The sequence below is a fragment of the Homo sapiens genome, chromosome 15, assembly GCF_000001405.40.
Source record: "Homo sapiens chromosome 15, GRCh38.p14 Primary Assembly".
In the NCBI taxonomy this organism is placed as follows: domain Eukaryota; kingdom Metazoa; phylum Chordata; class Mammalia; order Primates; family Hominidae; genus Homo; species Homo sapiens.
Window position 1 is genome coordinate 90,786,246 of NC_000015.10, and position 18,313 is coordinate 90,804,558.

Genomic DNA, 18,313 nt, shown 5'->3' on the forward strand with positions numbered 1-18,313 from the left:
CCAAATTCCTGCGATTATAGGTGTGAGCCACCATCCCCGATGTGTTTCTACTTCTTGGCTACTATGAATAATGGCTTTGTGAGCATTCACGTACAAGTTTTTCCACGGACATATGTTTTCAGTTCTCTTGGGTAGACACCTGGGAGTGGACTTGCTGGGTCAAATGGCAACTCTTTGTTTAACTTTTAGAGGAACTGTGAAACTGCTTTTCAAAGTGGCTCTGCAGTTCTGCATTCTCACCAGCAATGTATGAGGTGCCAGTGTCTCCACGTCTTCACCAATATTTTTTATTGTCCAGCTTTTTTAATGTATTCATCCTTGTGTGTGGGAAATGGTATCTCTTTGTGGGTTTTTTTTTATTTACATGGAAGACCACACACGTGAATAATTCAAGCAAGGAATTCACGTCACCCAGGCTGGAGTGCAGTGGCGCAATCTTGGCTCACTGGAACTTCCGCCTCCTGGTTCAAGCAATTCTCCTGCCTCAGCCTCCCAAGTAGCCGGGACTATAGGCACATGCCACCACACCCAGCTTATTTTTGTATTTTTAGTAGAGACAGGGTTTCACCATATTGGCCAGGCTGGTCGTGAACTCCTGACCTCATGATCCGCCCACCTCAGCCCCCCAAAGTGCTGGGATGACAGGTGTGAGCCACCACGCCTGGCCCTCTTTGTGGTTTTGATTTGCATTTCCCTAGTAACTAACAATATTGGGCATCTGTTTCCGAGATGAGAAATTTGCCGTCACCCAGGTGGGTGGGGAGGAAAGCTGAAAATACTTTAGGCATCTCTTTTTTTTTTTTTTTTTTTTTTTTTTTTTTGAGACGGGAGTCTCACTCTGTCGCCCAGGCTGGAGTGCAGTGGCGCGATCTCAGCTCACTGCAAGCTCCGCCTCTCGGGTTCACGCCATTCTCCTGCCTCAGCCTCCCGAGTAGCTGGGACTATAGGCACCCGCCACCACGCCCGGCTAATTTTTTTTTGTATGTTTAGTAGAGACGAGGGTTTCACCACGTTAGCCAGGAGGGTCTCGATCTCCTGACCTCGTGATCCGCCCGCCTCGGCCTCCCAAAATGCTGGGATTACAGGCGTGAGCCACCGCACCCAGCCTACTTTAGGCATCTCTTATTGTGGTAAATGCCAGCCTTGGATAGATCCCTCTAAATGAAAGGATGAATTTCAGCAAAACAACTAATAATTACTTGGAGCCAATGAAAAGTTTCAGCTCAGGAAAAAGTATTTACTTTGAAGATTCAGAGGAAAAATATCTCTCAAAATTGTTTTCTCTGGGAAAACAGAAAATTTTAGAGGATATCAGTTTAGTATCCCGAGAAAGATATAAGAAGACTTAATATACGTGAACTAGTAACAACTTCCATAAGATCACAGGGTGAGATGAAGGGAGAAATAAAAATCCAGTTTATGGCCAGGTGCAGTGGCTCACCCCTGTAATCCCACCACTTTGAGAGGCCGATGTGGACGGATCACCTGAGATCAAGGAGTTTGAGACCAGCCTGGCCAATATGGTGAAACCCTGTCTCTACTAAAAATACAAAAATTAGCCGGACGTGGTGATGGGCATCTGTAGTCCCAGCTACTCAGGAGGCTGAGGCAGGGGAATCACTTGAACCTGGGAGCCGAAGGTTGCAGTGAGCCGAGATCGTGCCACTGTACTCCAGCCTGGGAAACAGAACAAGACTCTATGTCAAAAAAAAAAAAAGAAAGAAAAATTCAGCTTATCCAAGTAAGAAAAACAAAACTAAGAGCAGAATTATATATTAAGACACAAATGGAATGACTCAGTCTCAGTGGAGACAATAGAATCAGTGATGTAGTGAGTAGCTTGAGAATGCAAGGGAAAAAAGAGATTAAAATGGGGTGGGGTGGAAATTATCTTTGTTGACAAAAGGAGGTAAGGATTCAGCCTAAGAATAGTAAGTGTACCCAAGCAAGAAAGCAGGATAATTGAAACAGATAAGTGTGTTATAAATAAATACATAACAAATATATAACAAAAATAATAGAAGACTGTCTTCAGAATTGGAAGAAGGAAGACTGGGACTGAAGAATTTCGTACCCAGCTCACTGTCATTTATGTTGAAACCAACAAAAGGTCATTTTCAGATATGCAAAAAGTTTAGAAATACATCACTCATTTGTCTTCACTGAAATACTGATTTTAGTCTTCCCAAATTAGTTTATATATTTAACCCAAATGCCAGTGTTTTGTTTTTTTTTTTTTTTTTTTTTTTGGTTTTTTGTTCTTTTCCCTTTGATAAACTTTTTCTAAAGTTTGCCTGGAAGAATATTCAAGTGAAAATAACTAAGAGAGTTTGGCAAAAAACCTAATAATACAGGAACACTAGTTTGCAGTACATTATAGGCAGATCAGTGGAACAGGAAAACATGTAAAAACAATACATGATAAGGAAAAAGTTTGCATGAAAGGGCCAGGCATGGTGGTTCACACCTGTAATCCCAGCACTTTGGGAGGCCAAGGTGGGAAGATCACTTGAGCCTAGGAGTTCAAGACCAGCCCAGGCAACATGGCGAAACCCCATCTCTACAAAAAATACAAAAATTAGCCTGGCATGCTGGTGCACACCTGTAGTCCCAGCTTCTCGGGAGTCTGAGGCAGGAGAATAGCTTGAACCCTGGAGGTGGAGGTTGCAGTGAGCCAAAATCACGCCACTGCATTCCAGCCTGGGCAACAGACCGAGACTGTCTCAAAAAAAAAAAAAAATGATTTTTTTCAAGTGCTTTAAATGGTTATGTATAGTATAAATAATCTACAATGGAGATATATATATATATATATATAACTTTGATAAAAAATATGGTTAAACAATAGGGGTTTATAAAAACCTAATTATTTCTGCTCTCAGACTAATTAATCCTTACAGTCAGCATGTAATATTAGCCTACACCAGCTCGACAGACTTGATCTCGTTAGATTCATGAGATAGAATAAAACTTGGCCATTATTCTTCACAAAGAATGATTGTGGCTTGAAGTTTTAAAAGCGCAGAAATAAAGAAGGAAATCACAATTAAACAAAGCCACTTTTCCCAATTTCAAGAAATAAGAGCTTTCAGAAAGAGTTGGCAGCCTTGCATCCTCATCTGGAGGCTGCAGGCGGTGCCTCACAGCCCTGTGCCCGCCCTGATACTGGGAGATGCACCTGGACTTCATGGAACCCTGTGGGTCATGCTTCCGGACCTGTCGGCTGACACATCTTGCTGTGCAGCTTCTCCACCTGCTCTCCATCACTAGAAGCTACAATAGTCTTTCTGTTTCCAAGGAGATTTGCCTTTGATCAGAGTGCCATAAATGTAGATGGATGACTAACCGAGAGCGCAGGCCACTCACCGCCATTCCTGGTGTTGATAAATGTACCCCTTTACTGTCCACATACTCCAGAGCTTGCAGTTCCTTCCGCTGGTACTCACAGTTACTGAAATCATGTCATTAGTCTCAGTCTGCCTGCCAGATATTTCAGATGCCTTTGAAATACTGTTCTTGCAGTAGCAATTCATTTTTTTAAGTGCTAAAAAAAAACTTGCAGTTTTATTTGTGAAGTGTAATTTTGCCTGGAGATATAACATTTTGGTCTGGGTTAAATAGCTCCTAAATTCTCAACTGAAATGGATATCCTTGAAAACTGATTTATCAAGCTCCTGAGAGTGAACTATCACCTTGCTTCCACTAAGTAATTTGTAAGGTCTAAGATCCGCAGTCCCTGGTGTTTTTTTTTTTTTTTTTTTTTTTTTTTTTTTTTTTTGGTATAAGTAGCTCTCAGACTTTTACCCACATGAGTTTCCATTAAAATTGTACAAGCTTTGACTTTAAATCAGCTGATGAATAGAAGGAGTTGATGTGTGATCAGCTGGTGCTATTGGGAAAACTGATGATAAGCAGTGGAGCAGGTAAGAACGTATTGTTCCTGAACCATTGGAGGAACTAGCAGCAGTGACCTCTGAGGAGCCCTGGGAACACCCTGGAGCTCCTGAGCAACACGTTGCTTGTGATCACTGACCTGGATATCATGACTGTGTGAGCAACACCCCCCACACCTCAGTAGCAAAAACAGAGAACAGTGGCAGCACATCGTGGGCTGACTGCAGTTGATTCTGGCTCTCTTACATGAGAATGCCAAGTCATACAAGAAAGTGCCTGCCATGCTGAGCTTCTCTTTACCTTCTTGGGTTTTAATGGCATTGCAAGTTATCAGTATAAAAACTCATATTAGTTATACTAAATAGTTGGACCAAGTTAAGATATTAGGTTGTTATGTAGTGTGCATTTTAAAGTAAAACAAATGATAGAGCTTTTAGAAGCATCTATTATGAAAATGTTCCTTCAAGTCTGTGCCTTATGAATCTAATAAGCTTTTGCTTTTATATCAGGTTATCTGTGCTACAATTGCATTTGGAATGGGGATTGACAAACCGGACGTGCGATTTGTGATTCATGCATCTCTCCCTAAATCTGTGGAGGGTTACTACCAAGAATCTGGCAGAGCTGGAAGAGATGGGGAAATATCTCACTGCCTGCTTTTCTATACCTATCATGATGTGACCAGACTGAAAAGACTTATAATGAGTAAGCTGGGCTCCATTGTAGAGACATTCTGTCATCTTCAGCCTCATGATAGTAGTCTACTCCTGCTATTGTGGTACTTCTGGTCCAGTTTTCCTTAAATAATCGTAGAAAAATAGAGGAGTTTATACAGATTGGCAATTTTATTTTAGTTCATTTTTATTATAAAAGTGGTAAGTGCTTATTTTGTAAAACTCAAATGATACAGATGTGTACAAGGCAGAAAATTTACAAACCATGCCTTGTAGTTTTGCCCCCAAAATAACTCTAGTTATTGGTTTCCTTTGTATCCTTTCAGACCCTATTTCTGCATGCATTCTTGCATGTAACACATATTTCAAACATGCAGGAAGATAAAAAGGAGAAAATAATGAGCTGTCATATACTACCATCTGGATTAAGAAATAAAACACAATCAATCGAGCTGAACCCCTCCCCACCACCCCATAGCCTCTCTTGTCTCATCCGTCCTCTCCCATTAGAGGCAGGCAAATATCTTGTATTTGGTATGTACCTTTTCCAAATGCACATATTTTAAAATGTAAATGGGATTATATTATACATACTTTATATATATAATGACCCGATTTTTTTCAGTCAACAGTAGGATGTAATTATCATTCCAATGAATACATACAGCCTGACTACCTAGAATTCCGTAGTATGGTTATTCCATGGTTATTAAACTAATCCCCTCTTACTAGATCTTGTTTATTGTTTTTCACTGTTATCAACAATGCAGTATTGAACATCCCTCCCTATACAAATATCTTTGGGCATTTTTGCAGTTACTTATATAAGATTTTTTTTTTTTCAAGACCGAGTCTCACTCTGTCACCCAGGCTGCAGTGCAGTGGCAGAATCTTGGCTCACTGCAACCTCCGCCTCCCGGGTTCAAGCGATTTTCTCACTTCAGCTTCCAGAGTAGCTGGGACTACAGGCATGTGCTACCATGCCCAACTAATTTTTGTATTTTTAGTAGAGACAGGGATTTCACCATGGTGTCCAGGCTGGTCTCAAACTCCTGACCTCAGGTGATCCGCCCACCTCAGCCTCCCAAAGTGTTGGGATTACAGGTGTGAGCCACCACGCCCGGCCTTATAGGATAAATTTCTAGAGTTAAACTTGCTGGGTGAAAGTGAATACATATTTTAGAATTTTATTACATTCTTTGCTCATTTTTCTCCTGGGTTGTGAGAGTTAAATATATTTCCTAAATATATGTATTTCTTCTGAGACCACTTTTTTTTTTCTTTTTTTTTTTTTTGAGACGGAGTCTCGCTCTTGTTGCCTAGGCTGAAGTGCAAAGGCTGGAATGCAATGGCACGATCTCGGCCCACTGCAACCTCTGCCTCCCAGATGCAAGCAGTTCTCCTGCCTCAGCCTCCTGAGTAGCTGGGATTACAGGCTCCCACCACCACACCCAGCTAATTTTTGTATTTTTAGTAGAGACAGGGTTTCACCATGTTGGCCAGGCTGGTCTTGAACTCCTGACCTCCAGTGATCTGTCCGCCTCAGCCTCCCAAAGTTCTGGGATTACAGGCGTGAGCCACTATGCCCAGCCGAGACCACTTTTAAATTAACTCTGGCAGAAGTACAGTGCATAGGAAATGGCACTTACCAAGCACTGTGCCCAACACTGCATATATCACCTCATTACCTTATTTGTTCAAAACAACTAACTTGTGATGTAGAGGTACTCCCATAAAAAGTGAGCTTCGGAAAGGTTTTGTAACTTTTCCCCAGGATCACTGATATGGCAGGAGCAATAAGAGTCGTTGTAGTAGTAGTATAACAATGGTAATTATTATAGATAAGTGTTTATTTAGCCCTTCCTATGTGCCATTCTAAATGCCTTACATGTATCATCAACTAATTTCATCTTCACAATAACCCTCAGAGATAAAACCTTTGCTTTCCTCATTTTACAGAGGAGGAAAATGAAATGCAGAACTAGTAAATGGTAGAGCCCTGACAGAACCCAAGTTCGTCTGATTCCAAAGTCCATGTTCCTTGCACTATACCAAAGTGATTCTCAGTGAAGAAAATTAAATATTTACACTTGGTTTGCCCATTTGTGTTTTTTTTAAAATCTATATTAAAGCTAGGCCCAAACATGGCCAGGCATGGTGGCTCACACCTGTAATCCCAGCACTTTGGGAGGCCGAGGCCAAAAAAAAAAAAAATTTAGGCCCAAACAATTTAATAGATATTTAAGTCCTGATAGCAGCAACTATTTGGGGGAAAAATACTCATAAACTGGAAGAAAAAAATAATATTTTTTAAAAATTATTTTCTTTTTTTTTTTTTTGAGACGGAGTTGCGCTTTTGTCACCCAGGCTGGAGTGTGATGGCACGATCTCAGCTCACTACAACCTCCACCTCCTGGGTTCAAGCGATTCTCAGCCTCAGCCTCCCGACTAGCAGGGATTACAGGCTCGCACCACCACACCCAGCTAATTTTTGTATTCTTAGCAGAGACAGGGTTTTGCCATGTTGGCCAGGCTGGTCTCAAGCTCCCGACCTCAGGTGATCCGCCCACCTTGGCCTCCCAAAGTGCTAGGATTACAGGCGTGAGCCACCGTACCTGGTGTTAAAATTCTTAAGTAACAACAGTTGCTTACTGATGGAAAGTATGCCACTGCTGTTCTCACACATTGGAATCAAATCCGACACTGCCACCCTCATTTCCTGTTTCACATTGATTTTCTTGAGATACTTCTTTTTATCATAGCAACTGCGAAAAACCCAGCTTTGCAAAGATGAGATATTGCTAATAGGAATGTAGCACAATCTAATGTTAATACCATTAACTACCTCAAGCTAATAATTTGGGTGATGTTCAACAGATGTTAGGCATTGCTGTGTTTCCCTTCATGTAAAATATTCTGTCTCTGTGAGTTCACCACAGCACCCCCGGGCTTGTTGGCACACAATTTTGGAACCACTGGTGTAACTACTTTGACCTCAGATACTCAGAGAAGTGCATGGCCACTGCCGTAATCTCAGGCTCTGCTTCCTCAGGATGTTCAGTTCGGTGGATGCTCGACTGATAAATACAGCAAATATAAGTCAAACCATCATCATTGGGGATAATGAAGATTTGAAAAAAAAAAACCTAACATTTATTCCTATAGTACTAAAATCTTGAGGATGAACATTAATACTCAGTTAATTATAATATAGAATGCCATGTTGACAATGCTGTTAACAGTAATTTTCTTATTTAATATTTAAAGTTATATGAATCTATTCTAAATATTTCTATGATATGCTCTATTTTTCCCCTATAAGTATGTCTTACTATAGTCTTCATCTCTTTTAGTGGAAAAAGATGGAAACCATCATACAAGAGAAACTCACTTCAATAATTTGTATAGCATGGTACATTACTGTGAAAATATAACGGAATGCAGGAGAATACAGCTTTTGGCCTACTTTGGTGAAAATGGATTTAATCCTGATTTTTGTAAGAAACACCCAGATGTTTCTTGTGATAATTGCTGTAAAACAAAGGTAAAAAAAGAAGTTTTAAAATTCTTTATAATTAAATTTTTTTTCTCTTACTTTAAAAATGTAGATACAAATTAGATTGCAAAAGGTGGTCTCCGACAGATTAACAGGGGAAAGACAGCTTCCTTCCAGTAGTAATTTGGAATGGAAACATTTAAAAAGTAATTTCATGCGGTATCTTTTCTTTATAATTAGAACCCTGTTAAAAAATATAATGGACATCAGCATATCCAGAATATTGAGTTTATATATGTGCACTGATGATTACAGAATATTTTAGAAATATTAATATGCAAACATCCAAAAAGATCCAACATGGGCAGGTAGAATATTTTAAATTTAATATATTAATGTTATTAATATAATACATTATATTAAAAATTTAATTGATTAAATTAAATATATTAAAATTGACGTATTAATATTTAATATTTTAAATATTTAATTAATATACTAAAAATCTCATTCTCAAAAGAGTAATAACTAGTGTACCGTATGTTTGAATTCAAATCAATTACATTACTCTTTTTTTTTAACTATAAAGAATAACAGTAACTGCTTGTGGATAAATTCACTATTATCTGTCCTAAAATACCCTTGGAAGGTTGTTAAATTCAGTCATTAGGTACTTATTTTACCTATCTTGGTAATTCTACATTTTAATGTCTACTGTAACCTACTGCTTACTGAGCATTTTCACGTTTGGTGTATTATTTACCTATCTGGGAGTATTAGACTTATATGTGCAAGATGCTGGAGAGCCACAAGTGACCATGGTATGGACCAATTCATAGACTGGAGTGGAGACCGACATACATGTGTTCATAGAAGTTTAACACTCTGGCTTGGCGCAGTGGCTCATGCCTGTAATCCCAGCACTTTGGGAGGCCGAGGCAGGAGGATCACCTGAGGTCAAGAGTTCAAGACCAGCTTGACCAACATGGTGAAACCTTGTCTCTACTAAAAAAATACAAAATTGGTCGGCTGTGGTGGCCCATGCCTGTAATCCCAGCTACTTGGGAAGCTGAGGCAGGAGAATCGCTTGAACCTGGTAGGTGGAGGCTGCAGTGAGCCAAGATCATGCCATTGCACTCCAGCCTGGGCAACAAGAGCGAAACTCCATCAAAAAAAAAAAAGTTTAGTACTCTCAGTAAGTATAGTTAAAAAATACAGAGCACAGGGCAGAACAGAGGGTAGTCTCTCTCAGTGTGGAACTGGCAAATTCATGCCATCTCCTCCCACCCCACCCCATCCCTTAAACATTGCTATCAGTTCCCTCATTCAACAGATATTTGTTGGGCTGTGTAACAGGCACTGTTGTAGGAATTTGGGATACATCACTAAACAAAATGAAAATCCCTGCCCTTGTGGAGCTTACACTCTAGCAGAGGGAGGCCAGTTACAAACAATATACACAATAAATATACATGAAAGGATAAGAGCTGTGGTGAATGGCACAGCAGAGTAAAAAGACAGGAGGAATGGGTAGAGTGCAGGATGCAGTATTAGACGGGGTGGTCCTTGGAAGTCTAACTGAGAAGATGGGAGCTGAGGAAAATCTTGAAGAAGGGAGTTAGCTGGCAGCTCCCTGGATGTGAGCTTTCCTGCAAGAAGCTTTGGCTAGAGCAAAGGCCCTAAGGTGGGGGTGTGCCTGGTGTGTTCGAGAGATGGCAAGGGAGCCCATGTGGCTGAGCAGGATTAAGAGCCAGTGAGGGGAAGAGGTGATGGAGAGCCAGAGCAGTCAGTTGAGGGCTAGAGTCCCAGAGTAACTGGAGGCCTGAGTAACTGGAAGGATGGAGTTATCCTTGGCTAAGATGCAGAAGGCTGGTTGGCAGAGAAGATCAGGAGTTTGGTTTGGGTTACCTAAATTGGGAATCTAATATTGAATTACATATTAAGATTCAAAAATTCTGAAAACAGACTGGTGGCACATGGGTGATATTTAAAGCATGGCCATCAGCTGACAGTCGGGATAAGAGAAGGGACGGAAGAGAAAGGAGAAAGTATGAAATAGTTGTCTAGGACAGGGGTCAGTAAACTTGCTTTTAAAGGGCCACAGCATAAATATTGTACACTTCGCAGCCATAGTCTCTGTCACAACGACTCACAGCTTTGCCATTGTAGTCTAAATGCAGACATAAATAATAAATACACCAATTTTCTAGTCATCTTCCATGGCTGTGTTCCAATAAAACTTTATGCACAAAAACAGGCATCCAGCTCCTGGGCCATAGTTTGCTGACTTCTGTTGTGAGAGAATGGAGGAATGATAGGCTAGGGAAGTATAAAGATAATGATTGCCTACAGCATTAACAGTCCATTCGAGCTTTGTGGCCACGTAGTGACAGTGAAAATGCCAAGTTCAGCCACATAGGTACAGGGACCTATGGAGATGGAGAATTGGATCCATTATGTTTTGCCAGGTAATATGTTGAAGTGATCTAAGGGCAAGAGAGCTGAGGGTCTATGAGAGGTAGTGATTATAATGATCGACTGGAATTTCAGCTGAGTTAGGAGGACATCTGAGGTTGAGGATCAGCAGATGGGCATTCCCAGGGGATTGTTGGAGTCAGAATACCACATGGTATGAGTTGGAAAGATAGGATGTGGTGGTCTGAGAATGGAGGAGTTGCCATTATTAGTAAGCTTAAGGTAGGAAGTGTGAGCGGCTGATGTATGTGGAGGACAGGATCATTGGAGCAGAGGAGATCAAGAACCAAAAGACCAAAGTAAGAGGATCAGCTCTGTATACCTAATCACCAAGAATTAAGGTAGATGGCCAGGTGCAGTGGCTCACACCTGTAATCCCAGCACTTTGGGAGGCTGAGGCCGGCGGATCACCTGAGGTCAGGAGTTAAAGACTAGCCTGGCCAACGTGGTGAAACCCCATCTCTACTAAAAATACAGACAAATTAGTCGGGCATGGTGGCAGGTGCCTGTAACCCCAGCTACTCAGGAGGCTGAGGCAGGAGAATCGCTTGAACCTGGGAGGTGGAGGTTGCAGGGAGCCAAGATTGCGCCATCGCACTCCAGCCTGGGCGACGAGCGAAACTCCATCTCAAAAAAAAAAAAAAAAAAAAAAAAAAAAAAATTAAGATAGGAATGGAGTGACAGGGCACTTTTTCTTGATGACTCTAGATAGGGCCTCAGAATCACTTGCAGTTGTTAGTGTAAGACCAGAAACCTGTTCATCTCCAGGTTATTGGTGTGTGCAAATGACAAGGATTAGAAGGTAGGGAGGGCTGCATACACAGAAGCACCAAGCATGATGCAGCTTTTTACACCTGTGAGTGGTCAGTATTGATGGTAGAGAGAACTAGGGGAGAGAAAGGCAAAAAGTCATCTAGTAACGGGGACTCTAAAAAGTGGGCAAAGTTTGGGGATAGCTGAAGGAAATGAGAAAGGAAACTAGCAGGAGATGATGAAAAGAGCGTTGACTATGGCACCAAAGACCCCAGAGGGGTTAGAATCCGTGGATTTACGTGGCACCCCACAGGTTCCCACCCAGTATGTAACAGAGCACTATTCTAGGAGGCATGGAGGATTTAAATTGTGTGTTTGTGTGTGTGTCTGTGTGTTATATATGTGTTTCTACCCACAGAGTGCTATCAGGTAGTTGAAAGACAAGACGTATCTCTGTGAAACAGTAACAACATCGAGTGGTAGTTGTTCTAGAACTTAGATAAGAATGAACATTTGAAATTTCCGTAGGTTTTGGTCTCGGTATTGGTCTGGAAATGGGTTATGATGAATCTACTATAGTTAATATTAAACCCTAGTAATCTAGGCATTGTTACCTTAATTATAGCAGAAAGTATTCTCTTTTTATTCATAGGATTATAAAACAAGAGATGTGACTGACGATGTGAAAAGTATTGTAAGATTTGTTCAAGAACATAGTTCATCACAAGGAATGAGAAATATAAAACATGTAGGTCCTTCTGGAAGATTTACTATGAATATGCTGGTCGACATTTTCTTGGGTAAGTCATCTGTTTTGAATGTTTGAGTTACTTCAATTGAAATTGAACATCTAAAGAATTTATTACAAGTACATAGAAAAACTTTTTGTCTATTTTCTTATAAAACTTGAGTTTCTGAATAAAACTTTTAAGTAACAAAAGAAAGTCAATTATTATACTGTTTTATATAATGTATATGTCACTAAGTTGAGATGGTTTCACATACAAAGAAGAAAATAATAAAGCTTATGCGAGTTCATCTGAGTGGGTGGAATGTAACTATTAAAATGTCAGTAAGGAAATAAAATGAGGATTAGACCCATAACAGCATAGAGAATAGGAGAGAGACTATTATCAGATTAGTGCCTTAAAAATCTCTCAGGGGCTGAGCACAGTGGCTCACACCTGTAATCCCAGCACTTTGGGAGGCCGAGGCGGGCGGATCACCTGAGATCAGGAGTTTGAGATCAGCCTGGCCAACATGGTGAAACCCTGTCTCTACTAAAAATACAAAAAATTAGCCAGGCATGGTGGCATGCACCTGTAATCCCAGCTACTCGGGAGGCTGAGGCAGGAGAATCGCTAGAACCCGGGAAGTGAAGACTGCAGTGAGCTGAGATCGCACCATTGCACTCCAGCCTGGGCAACAAGAGTGAAACTGTGTCTCAAAAATAATAAATAAACAAACACACACAAAAATTAGCCAGGTGTGGTGGTGGGCACCTGTAATCCCAGCTACTCGGGAGGCTGAGGCAGGAGAATCGCTTGAACCTGGGAGGTGGAGGTTGCAGTGAGCCGAGGTCACGCCACTGCACTCCAGCCTGGCAACAGAGTGAGACTCCATCTCAAAAAAAGAAAGAAATGGACAGTAAAGAGGAAGACCAAATAAATAGAATATTTGACCCTGGGTGATAGAAATAATTGAAAATAGTAGTTTGGGAGAGAGGGGAGAGAAGACTCCTTAGTATCGTCTTAAAGAGTTTTTAAAATAAATACTTAAATAATAATTGAATAATGGAAAAGAAATAAAAATGAGAAAGAGCTGTCAATTTTAAATGATTGACAAAGTAAATTTAGTGGAGAGGTTGGAAAATAAAGTCAAGAAAATTTAGGAACTGATCAAAATGATATATGGAAAATAGAGAAAGCATAGAAAGGATTAATCCTCAGTAGATGTAAAATCTGACAAAAATTTTGGAAATAGAAAATAAAGGGAATTATCAAACCAATGATCTAGGAAAACTTCCTAGAGTGGAAGAGATAAAAGTTTTGGATTAAAATGCTCACTGAATGCCAAATAAGATGCCTGTAAAAAAAAAAAAAAAAAAAAAAAAATTAAGACATATGGCCACGAGATTTGAGAATACTAAGAGTTAAAGACATGTCAAAGAGGAAAAACTTTTCCTCAACCCTCTTAGGTTCAGTGATGGGGCCTGCAAATTAAACCAACAAAAAACAGATTAGCAAGGGAAAAGACAGATTTAGTCATGTGTGGATAGGAGTTCACAGAAAAATGTGGTTCAAAGGGGCAGTTAGAATGTGGGGCTTATATACCATCTTAATAGAGGAAGGGGAGAAGGAGGGGGGCACTTATGGAAAAACAAATGACTGTTAGGAAAGACAGATGGACTGTTAGGAGACCAGATGGGAGATACAAAGTTTTTATGACAATGTCTGTTTAAGTGTGGTGTGAAGTCTTATCTCTGTTTAAAAGGGTCAGCCTTCCCTGGTTTTTCCCAGGGAGGCAATTTATGACAACTGAGTTCTTTTGGGAGGCCCTGCTTTTTGGCAGATAAGAGATTTCAGATGCCTTCTGCTCAAAATAATTTTTATGCCACAGTGGCATATTCTGGACCCCTTCAGAGACAATTCTGAAAGCTCTGGAAAGAAAACAGGAACCCAAACCAGACTGACATCAGCTTAATATCAGCAATCCTGGAGACTAGCAGGCAAAGAAAGTGAGCACAGGTCGTGATTTGATAAGTGGTGGAACCCACCCATGGGTCCAGTGAAGAAAACCCATAGTCACAGTCAGGCAGCAGGGCCAGTAAGCAATCTATGCAGACTAACAAAAGTCAGGAGGAGGCTGGGCACGGTGGCTCACGCCTGTAATCCCAGCACTTTGGGAGGCTGAGGCGGGCGGATCACAAGGTCAGGAGTTCGAGGCCAGCCTGACCAACATGGAGAAACTCCGTCTCTACTAAAAATACAAAATAAGCTGGGCGTGGTGGCACACACCAGTAATCCCAGCTAGTCGGGAGGCTGAGGCAGGAGAATTGCTTGAACCCGGGAGGCAGAGGTTGCAGTGAGCCAAGATCGTGCCATTGCACTCCAGCGTGGGCAACAAGAGTGAAACTCCATCTCAAAAAAAAAAGAAGGAACAGGGCCCACCCAACGTAGAGAGAGAGTAAGAAAGGAATGGTTTTATTGATAACAGTGAAGAATGCAAATGTTACTTCTCAACCAAAAAAAAGGAGAGAGGCCCTTAGAAACTCCAGGGAAAAGATTATACAAGAGAGCAAGATCAAATATAAAACAAAGGAAGTTGTGGCCAGGCACAGTGGCTCATGCCTGTAATCCCAGTACTTTGGGAGGCCAAAGTGGGTGGTTCACTTGAGGTCAGGAGTTTGAGACCAGCCTGGCCAACATGGCAAAACCTCATCTCTACAAAAAAATACAAAAATTAGCCGGGACTGATGTTGTGCACCTGTAATCCCAGCTACGCAGGAGGCCGAGGCAGAAGAATCACTTGAATCTGGGAGGCGGAGGTTGCAGTGAGCTAAGATCGCACCACTGCACTCCAGCCTGGGTGACAGAGCAAGACTCCATCTCAAAAAAAAAAAAGTTGTAAAAAAAAAAAAAGTTGGTAAAATGTACAAAAAAGTCATCCATTTGACATGATGGGTAAACATTCTCCTTTTGGTTCCATAAGAGTCATGACATTGTTCCAATTAGGGAAGGAAATTTGTCATCATGTAAACAACGATTGAAATCAACATACAGACCTAAACAAGGTTACAGGACAGAACAAGATGTAAATGTTAATATTGATGATATAAAAGTAAAAGTACAATCGCTAAAAGTAAAAGAAGGCATACAGGGAAGGCTTGGGTACTAATGACATCTCACATGTGGGAAGGGGTAGTGGTCAGAAGTTCTATTGAAAGTTAGAAACATAATTAGTACATGACCCAACAGTATCATATAACTAGCAAAATTCAGAGAAGAATAAAACAAAGTGGGGGTGGTATGAATGAGATAAAACCTCATCTTTCATAATAAAGGGGCAAGGACAATAGATAAATGTCAGGCTTTTGGACAGAAGGCAAGATTTCAGGTCCTTCTGTGTGTAGGTAGCCACCTGAAGAGCTGAAAACAAAAACTGTTTAAAAAGCGATTCCCTTGGGGAAGGGAAGGATGAGTCAGGGGAATGTTGCTTTTAATTATAAACCTTTCTGTCTGGGTACAGTGGCCCATGTCTGTAATTCCAGCACTTTGGGAGGCCAAGACAGACGGATTGCTTGAGCCCAGGAGTTCAAGATCAGCCTGAGCAACCTGGCGAAACCCTGTCTCTACCAAAAATACAAAAATTAATCAGGCATGGTAGCACGCACCTGTAGTGCCAGCTACTCCAGAGGCTGATGTGGGAGGATCACCTGCGCCCATGAGATCGAGGTGGCAGTGAGCTGTGATCCCGCCACTGCACCCCCAGCCTGGGCAACAGAGCAAGACCCTGACTCAAAAAAAAAAAATTGTATTTCAGCCAGCTTTCGTAGTTGTCCTCAGCAGTAAGGTTGGTCCATACCATTCAGCCTATCATTAGCAGAACGGTAGTTCTGTTTCTATAATGTGGCCTTTCAGGGATACAAATTACTTAAAGAAAATTTTGAATAATTCAGGATATATGGCCAGAAGCCATTTGAAATGGACAATAATATAATTATTTGGAACTCTTTAAAACAGAGCTAAAGCTTTACGTAATAACCATTAATTCTGATTTTTATAAATGTCACAAGGTCTCTTAAGTAGATTGTTACAATAAAGTTGTGTTTATAATGAAGACATTAGCAGTCACAGCAGCTTATGAATGAAACAAAGGATCCAGCCAACTGTGGCTCTCGGCTAGTAAGAGAAAGAGGGAAGTGTGTGTACATATTCCTGTCTTCATCTCTCCCCTTGAGCATCTTATAGGGTGTTGTGCTTTTCTTTTAGAATTTGAATAGGCTTCATTAGTGAGGGTGACAAAAAGAATAGACTTAAATACTTGGATTATAAACTAGTAGCAGTTTTGATAACCAGGGCCAGGGATCATATTTAGAAAACTGACTGTCAAAAATTGTTTGTAGCCAGGCTCAGTGGCTCATGCCTGTAATCCCAATACTGTGAGAAGCCAGGGTGGGAGGACTGCTTGAGGCCAGGAGTTAGAGACCAGCCTGAGCAATGTAGTGAGACCCTCGTCTCTACAAAAAAATTAAATATTATAAAATAATGTAAAGAGTGTCATTGGATTGTTTGCAACTCAATGGATAAATACCTGAGGGAATGGATGGCCCATTCTCCATGATGTGCTTACTTCACACTGTATGCCTGTATCAAAATATCTCATGTACTACACAAATATATACACCTACTATGTACCCACAAAAATTTAAAAATTAATAAATACTAGATGCACTTAAATATTTAAAATTTTTAAATTAGGTGGGTGTGATGGCCTGCACCTGTTATCTCAGCTAGTCAGGAGGCTGAGGCAGGAGGATCACTTGAGCCCAGGAGTTTGAGGCTGCAGTGAACCATGATTGCACCACTGCACTCCAACCTCCACAATAGAGTGAGACCCTGTCTCTAAAAAAAAAAAAAAAAATGTAGATAAGTAATGCACAGTTATCCTAATACATAGCACAGTGATAGGAAGCTATTATGGTTTATGTAAACTCTTTCTTTGATTTATTTGCTCCAATATAATTTTGCTGCTGTTTTTTGTCCATGTGTATTGTAAAAAGATAAGGAAAAGTACATACAACCATAGAAATTTTAGCGTTCTACTCAAATACTCTCATTTAACAGAAATGAGTGTCTGTGCCGGGGTTTGTGATCTATTCCATCTGTCCAAACCTGTCCATAAATGACTTTTTAGCCTCTTCTATTTGAGGGTGATGATATACGTACATTTACTCATCTTACTTCCTGTATCTTCTTATCAGGGAGTAAGAGTGCAAAAATCCAGTCAGGTATATTTGGAAAAGGATCTGCTTATTCACGACACAATGCCGAAAGACTTTTTAAAAAGCTGATACTTGACAAGATTTTGGATGAAGACTTATATATCAATGCCAATGACCAGGCGATCGCTTATGTGATGCTCGGAAATAAAGCCCAAACTGTACTAAATGGCAATTTAAAGGTATAGTATTTTTCATGTTTATTTTATTATCTCACAATGAGTGAACCAAAATATATTATTGTGAAGTATAGTGTCTTTGTCCAAGCTTATAGATACTGAATTTATATATACTGTTCTATACGAACATATTCTGTTTTTCTTAAATTGGAAAGAGATCTTAAAATTCAACCCAAGTAATATGACACCTGTCAAAAGTAATTTAATGGGTTATCAGGTCACTAAATCTTTATATATTCATTAAAGAAGCATTTATCAAGAGGCTATTCTATGCTTGACACTGGAGATACAAAGATGGAGAATGCACAGCCCCTGTTCCCAGTGGGCTCACTATCTGCATGACAGAATAGAATTGCCCCCCAAAAATGCAATTAAGCATTAAATAAAGCCCCTGTATGGGTACAAGTGCACATATACCCACTCCTATGATTTGTTTCTCTCTCATAAAGGTAGACTTTATGGAAACAGAAAATTCCAGCAGTGTGAAAAAACAAAAAGCGTTAGTAGCAAAAGTGTCTCAGAGGGAAGAGATGGTTAAAAAATGTCTTGGAGAACTTACAGAAGTCTGCAAATCTCTGGGGAAAGTTTTTGGTGTCCATTACTTCAATATTTTTAATACCGTCACTCTCAAGAAGCTTGCAGGTGGGTACACATGTATCCTTTGTTACGTGGCACAGATTAATAGGCCGAAAGTTAATCTTGCTAGGGAACTCCTTAAGTGATAAATATATCTCAGTGGTTTGTTTCTTTTTGGGGTTTGTTTTGAGACGGGGTCTCGCTGTGTCACCCGGGCTGGAGTGCTGTGGCATGATCATGACTCACTGCAGCCTCAACCTCCTGG

The 18,313-nt window shown here is 40.5% G+C and overlaps 1 protein-coding gene across 6 annotated transcripts in view; it reads left to right on the forward strand.

Annotated features, from left to right (window-relative positions):
• Nucleotides 1–18,313, forward strand: part of BLM (BLM RecQ like helicase) — a 98,821-nt gene that overhangs the window by 68,900 nt on the left and 11,608 nt on the right. For 5 of the 6 annotated variants that reach the window (NM_001287246.2, NM_001287248.2, NM_000057.4 and 2 more), the window contains 5 exons: nucleotides 4,404–4,599; nucleotides 7,922–8,112; nucleotides 11,945–12,092; nucleotides 17,276–17,475; nucleotides 17,922–18,114. In NM_001287246.2, coding sequence (NP_001274175.1) covers nucleotides 4,404–4,599; nucleotides 7,922–8,112; nucleotides 11,945–12,092; nucleotides 17,276–17,475; nucleotides 17,922–18,114 — 928 coding nt within the window. The remainder of the gene's footprint in view (nucleotides 1–4,403; nucleotides 4,600–7,921; nucleotides 8,113–11,944; nucleotides 12,093–17,275; nucleotides 17,476–17,921; nucleotides 18,115–18,313) is intronic. The other variant, NM_001287247.2, reaches the window with a different exon arrangement.